The sequence below is a fragment of the Homo sapiens genome, chromosome 18, assembly GCF_000001405.40.
Source record: "Homo sapiens chromosome 18, GRCh38.p14 Primary Assembly".
Lineage (NCBI taxonomy): Eukaryota > Metazoa > Chordata > Mammalia > Primates > Hominidae > Homo > Homo sapiens.
In genome coordinates this window covers 5647794-5655461 of record NC_000018.10, presented here as the reverse complement: position 1 = coordinate 5655461, position 7668 = coordinate 5647794, and positions in this window count along the sequence as shown.

Genomic DNA, 7668 nt, shown 5'->3' with positions numbered 1-7668 from the left:
AGGCAGGATCGGAATTACTCGGCTATCCTGGCCCTTGGGCAAACTCCAAGGAGGCTTAGACAAAAGCCACAGCTCAGGTACACAATCACTCCCAGGGATCCTTCAGTATTGGGCTGATGACTCCAGAACAAATTCAAAACTCACCCCTGATTCTCCTTTCCTCACTCACCTAGTCCCCAGTCCCTTAGAGACAGAGTCAGCCTGATCTGGCCAAGTCTGGCTCAGGATCTGGGTGGGCAGGGTGCAGGAGCACCCCTAAGGGGAGCTGGAGGGATGGAAACTCACCACACCGTCTGACAAGCACACACATTCTTGGTAGATATCAACATTAACTAGCTGTTGCCATAACATAAACTACTGATTTCACTTTATTTTAATTTCCTTTTCCATTTAAAATTGTATGCCCTCTCATCTAGAAATGGTTCTTATTCCAGGAGGAGGATGCCTTAAGCCTAGCAGTGTTATCAATTTTACTCTATTCATAAATCCTCGAGCCTTAAGCATATATTCGTCTAGCTTACTTCAGAGCATGAATCAGAATAGAATATGCTAAATCTTTAACTAAAATAATTTCTAACACTAAATCTTGTCCTTCTGAGCCTAATGAAAAGAGTCTCTGTATCTAGATTTTTGGCCTATCCCTTATGATAAGGCCTCAGATCATGGACATAGAAAAATGTAAAGAGTTCTGTAAGTGAAAGTTCATTAAGAGCAGATAATAACGTGGTCAACATAGAAATGAAAAAGAGGTGTTCCTCATTTCTCTTATCTACCCCTCTAAGGGCTATTGGATCAAATTCTGAGAATGTGTGACCTATGCCCTCTAATACTGTGCTCGGAATTTAGTTTAAACTTAATGGCCTAAATATATAAAGCTGTAGCTATGTTTAACATTCTGGAAGAATATCCTCTTTTACTGAACAATACGTAGTAGTTAAAATACTTTATATTCTTCCTCTATATGGGTACTGATTTAAAATTTGAGGCACCCGCACAGATATCATCATAACATTGTTTATGCCATTTTGATTATGAAGGACAATGTTATATTATACTTTGTCATATACGCTGTCAATCACATGTGGATTTCTATGTATTACAAAGGACTAATAACCATTATGCAATTACAATAAGGCTCGTGGCCTGAAGAAATTGATTTCAACTTTGTAAGATTGTGAGATATTGATAGAAGTTTATAAAATCTCTCCCTTAGTATTCTACTTTTTCTGATAACAAATTTACCAGACATTCAATACTGGAAACTGTAACATGGTTGGGGAAAAGTTGCAAGCTGAGAAACCACACCAACTGATGTGTCTGGTTCTTATATTCAAAAAATTTCTATGGAGTGTGATAATCTACAAATGTTTAAACTGAAAATGAGAGGCTGACTCCAGAAGTGAAAGGTATGTGGGAAACAGGTCAAGAGTTGGTGTTACTGTTCTTTTTCACAAGGGCCTTTCTACCTTTGCTACTTTCGTCAGACCAAGAACCAACTCTTGAGAAGTCTATTTTAGCATCCACAATCATGGCAAGAGCTCTTTCAATTAGCAGAACAGAAGCAGCTACAATAGTAACGTGATTTCAACCAGAAACCCGATTTGCCTCCAGGGGCTGACAGCAACTCTGTGCATGCTAAATTCTGCATGTGACTAAGATCTGCTTCCCATTTATTGGGTCTGAAAGATAATAAAATGTATATCTGGATTTTTAGGTCCTTTATCTGTCATCAGGAGAATACTTTAATGAGTCTTATGTAATTTTTTAAAGGATGACACCAAGAATAACCTGCAAAACTTACTCGCTTAGACTTGCTCAATTTCATCCAAATATAGCATTTAGCATTATTGCCTCTATCTTTTATGACCTGAAATATTCCAAGTTTGACTTGAGTGTCACAATAAACATTCTTCATTCCGTTATTTCCTTACTTCTGAGCAACTATTTGTTATGCGTTCTTATTGATGAGACTTTTTCTAAGAGTGCCTAGCGGGTGCTTCTAGGATTCTCTTGAGGGCCTTTAAAAAATACAGGAGCCCAAATCTCTACTCGAGTTCAACCGAATCCACATTCCTGTGAGTAGGGCTCAGGCCTGCGTATTTGAAAAAGAGCCCCACATAATTCTGATGACCGCCCTGGTTGAAATCATTGCATTTAATAGTGAAATATTTTTTAAAGCCTTTAACATGGGTATTAGGTAATAAGGTATGATGGGGACAAGTTACTCTTCATTCTTTTTGTGTAAATCATGCCTCTTCTGCTGGTGTGTAAAAACAAGCAACAGTGTGGAGATTTCACTACTATAATATAGCTACTTACTTAAAATTCTAGTTTGAAGTATGATGCCATTTTTGAAGGCCCAATATTGCTTTTCAGTACATCCACAAATGGACTCTTTGAGCTTGTATTCCCAAGGTCCTATTTTCCAATTTTTTCTGTTTGCAGTTTGGACATACAATATATTCTTATAATATCTTTAAAAACTGCTTCCAGGTTCTCTGAACAGGACCCTAGAGAATGCTACAAAATGTGCATCACAAGTTCTATGTGACATAGATTTTCTTTTTAATTTTATGTTGCATCATTGGTTTTTGAAGCAGCTGCTTGAAAAGAAACACTTTGCCTTCTCCCGCCTCAAATAAATAATACGTAAAAGCTATTTAAGACGCTGAGAGATCTGGGGAAATAGGAATCATAGGAGACTTAAATGTCTCAGCAATGTAGACCTTCTGAAAAACAGAATAGATAATTCAACTTTTAGAGAAATTTATGTGTTACAAAGAAAGCTGCTCACCCTCCACTTCTCCCCCGACACAAACAAAAAATAGAATATTTTGCATAGAGTATCACAGTGAAGATGAAACCTATAAAGTGAGCTTAATATGTGATGTAATAATGGGAGATTACAGAGTGAATATTGTGTACTTGCATTACATAGAGGATTAGTAAGCTAAGAAGTCTCACACATTACAACATTAAGATGAATTGAAATGTGCCATCCCTATGTCAAGAAAATTCTTTATTAAATCCATTGTTTTACAGACTCTGAGCTCCAGCTTCTGCTAATGGTAAAATAACTTGATAAGACATAACTTCCTGATACAATTACAAAATCTTGACAAATAAAAAATCAAACAACTATTTGAACTATTTGAAATGGCCAAACACAGGCAGAACCTTGAAAGATCAACTACAGTGGGTGAGATTTGCAAGTGTGTGATTTTTTTCTTGGAGATAATCCTCAATCTCTCTGTATTTAAGTGGCAGAAATCAGCAAACTTATTGGCTTAAGGTGCCAGAGGACAGAGTTAAGGCTCAGAGAACTCAGCAAGTTATGAGGCTGGAAGGAAGGGAGTCTCAGAAAATGTGCATAAAAATCTATGAAGAGAAATCTGATTAAACTCTTGGCAGACTACTAACTAAACATGTATGAGGGAGATCTTAGGGGAGGCCAGACCAAAACCAAGAGCTAGAATCTGAAAGAACTGAGCTGAGATTTCACCTGCTGCCCACCATATGGGAGACAATTGGTTGTTCAAAACCAGCCAATTCAATTGCCAGCTAGAAAAAGAAAGCTGCTCTTCAGAAGAATGTCACAGATTGCAGAGTCCCAATAACTTGTCATTCATAATGCCCATTACCCCATGAAAAATCACCAGATTTGCAAAGAAGTAGGAAAATGTGACATTTTTAAAAAGATAGTCAATAAAGACAGATGCTGAGGATATCCAGATATTGCAATCACCAAACAAAGGTTTTAGACCTGCTCAAGGAGGCAATGTGGTATCATCACATTTCAGCCTTTGAGTGATAATATTGACATGAACAATAGTTACAACTTGCTGAGTATTTACATATATTGTCAAATGATTTCCAACAAGAGTGCCAAAACCATTCCATGGGGAAAATAGTGTTTTCAACAAAAGGTATTGAGAAAACTGGATATCTATATGCAAAAGGATAGAATTGGACCCTTACTTTATATAAAAATTAACCCAAAATATGTTAAAGACCTAAATGAAAGAGCTAAAACTATAAAACTCTCAGAAGAAAACATAGGGGGAAAGCTTCATGACTTTGGATTTGGCAATGATTTCTTAGATATGATAGCTAAAGCACAAGCAAAAAAAAGGAAAAATAAATTGAGCTATATCAAAATTTAAAACTTCTATAAATCAAACAATACTCTCTAGCTATGAAAGGCCTAGATGGCATCTTACTCCAATAGAAGGCTGTTTTGCTCACACTGAATATCTGTTATCCACCTCGCCAATGATCTTAGCTACATCTTCTGGATAACTCGATGCATCTTCTCTACTAGCACTTATGGCTTCACCCTGCACTTTTATATTAAGAAGATAGCTTCTTTCCTTTAACCTCATGATTTAATCCCTGCTAGCTTTGAACTTTTCTTCTGCAGCTTTCTTACCTCTATCAGCATTCACAGAGTTATAGAGAGTTAAGGTCTTGCTCTGGATTAGGCTTTGGCTTAAGAGAATACTGTAGCTGGTTTGATCTAACCACACCGCTAAACTTTCTCCCTATCGGAAATGAAGCCCTTTCATTTTCTTATCATACATGTGTTCACTGGAGTAGTACTTTTAATTTCCTTCAAGAACTTTTCCTTGCATCCACAACTTGGTTATTTGGCACAAGAGGCCTAGCTTTTGGCTTGTCTTGGCTTTTGACATGCCTTCCTCAATATGCTTAATCATTCATAGCTTTTGATTTAAATCGAGAGACACATGACTCTTTCAGTTGAACACTTAGAGGCCATTGTAGAGTTATTAATTGGCCTAATGCTAATATTCATGTGTAAGGGAATAAGGAGGCCTAAGGAGACAGAGAGAGACTGCGGAACGGCTGGCGGTGGAGCAGTCAGAACACACACATTTATTGATTAAGTTCACTGTCTTATATGGATGCAGTTCATGGCGCTCCAAAATAATTCTAATAGTAATATCAAAGATCACTGACCACAGATCATCATAGCAGATACAATAATAATTTAAAAATATGAAATATTGTGAGAATTACCAAAATGTAACACAGTGACATGAGGTGAACACAGCTGTTGAAAATATGGCCTGATAGACTTGCTTAACTCAGGGTTGTCACAAATATTTAATGTGTACAAAATGCAATATCTGCAAAGTGTAATAAAGCAAACTGAAATAAAACAAGATATGCCTGTATTATGTGTATTTTACCACAATTTTAAAATATTTTAAATAATTATAAAAAATCTGTCCTTTAGCATAAGCTTGGATTTGTAAACAAAATTTAAATATCAGAACACATTTTGTGTTTTACTCAAATGTATGAGTATCAGCCATTTTTAAAAGGATCACTATAATTAAAATTCATTTGGCAGAAATGTCCAATCACCCATACTAAATGATGGAGGAAGAAAGGGATTGTAACTCGTTTCCACATGGCTAGAGAAAAACTCTGAGATTACTTTTAATGACAGAACAAAGTTTTGTCGTATCTCTTTTATGTGGAGGCACACAAAGTCTACATACATTTCTGCTTTTCCATATGTAATGAATTGCAGCAAAGCTAAGACCAAGGAAATAAAATACACTGTCTTCCCATTTCCCAACCATACCACCACCAAGATTTCTTCAGTTAATGGAGTGAGGGAGTTAACCGCAAAGCCAAGAATCCGAACCTAGGATCTACCTAGGAAGAAAAACGTAGGACTCGGTTTTCTACAACAGTGGTTTTCAAAGAGTGATCTCCAGGCCAGCAATGCTGGCATCACTGGGAATCTTATCAGAAACTGTGAGTGGGGCCAGCGATGAGTGTTTAAAGAAGCCGTGCTGAAGTTTGAGAACCTGATTAGTGTCAATGCCATTACCCCTCAAGGCGTAAGAGCCTGTGAGGGAGGAGAAGGGCAGGAATTCAAAGTGAAAGCTTGGGTGAAAATTTAACATTTGCTTTTGAAGGAATGAAATGGGAAAACAAATAACTAAAAGTAACAGAAAATTGCGTCAATAAAAAGATCTTATGTATATATTCGTCTTTAAGGTTTGTTTTTAAAGAGCATCTCATTCAATTAATGTTTATATTTTATTGCTGTTTTCATGAACATAACCTTTATTCAAAATTTTAGAATCCTTTCTGAATACTATATTGATAAGCCCTTTACAAATGGCTTTAGGTGTGCACCTCACTTAGTCCCCACAATAACACCATCAGGTGGGCACTACTATTGTTCCTATCTTACAAATGAGAAAACAAGTTTCAGAGGTTAAAGTATCTTGCGTGTGGCTATAGCTGAAAGAAGCCATAAAGCTTGAATTCAAACTGGGTCTATTGACCCAGAGCCTCAGCCTGCCCAGCATGGAGTGCTGCCTGTTGGGTAGACCACCCTGGACAATGAACTTGAGTATAGGGTTAGTCCCTAACCCAGAACCATTAGGGACTCATCTTGCACCTTTACCACTTGAATATTAGGTTGTTGCAAAAGTTACTGTGATTTTTGATGTTATTTTTAATGGCACAACTGCAATTACTTTTGCACCAATTTAGCATAATCTGCTCCTGCCTTCTGTCCATTATTTCTACTGAAAATCCCTACCTCACACCTCCCGCTTCAACCCAGGCTTCATTGTGCAGACAAGTTAGTTTTCCATAAACATAACTTTCAACGTGTTAGAGCCCAGTTCAAAACCTCCTAAATATCCACTCTCACCTCTCTTAGTCTTCATGTCCTCCACCTGTCAGGTCTCACGCTGTATTCATGAATTGAAATTCCCTACACCCTACTCTGCTCCCTCTGACAACAAATCCGTATCTGTTATTCCAATCTCAAGCACATTCCCTCCTCCCTAGACTGGTCAGTCTCTTTCCAGTCTCAGAAACATTCTGTGGCCACTGACCTCCATTTTTTGGCTCCTATTGTCTTTCTGGACTGGGATATTCTCCCCTCTCCCACTCATTTCAATTCTGCCCCTCCTTGCCTCTTGGCTGGAGCCCACATTGATCTATTTCTCCCCAGGCTCCTTCAGCTCTCACTGCCTGCTGCAGGGGTCTCTCAACTCTATTGAACAAGATCCCCACTGGCAAAACATTTATGTATGCCCATTTAAAAACTATATAACTGTACTACCTAATGGGCATTGTAAATGCATATTTTAATGCATCATGAAAATAGAAATCAAAAGATAAAAGTTAAATGTGGGTGATTTTCATATTTTCTTTCTTCATCTCAAAATATTATCTTTTATATTTTTCTTTTTTTTTTTTTTTGAGACAGAGTCTCACTATGTCACTCAGGCTGGAGTGCAGTGGCACAACCTCAGCTCACTGCAGCCTCTGCCTCCTGGGTTCAAGTGATTCTTGTGCCTCAGCCTCCCAAGTAGCTGGGATCACAGGCACGAGCCACCAGGCCCAGCTAATTTTTGTACTTTTAGTAGAGACGGGGTTTCGCCATGTTGCTCAGGCTGGTCTCTTAACTCCTGGCCTCTAGTGATCCACCCACCTCGGCCTCCCAAAGTGCTGGGTTTACAGGCATGAGCCACCACGCCTATCTTGAGGGCCCTGGGGTTCCTGTGTACAGTCCGCAGCCTCTGACCAACGCTTTGTTACTTTATCTTTTGCTGCCAGCTTTCCTTGTTCAGCTTGTCAGGTTTCCTTAGTTCATTTTTTATTTTTAATTTT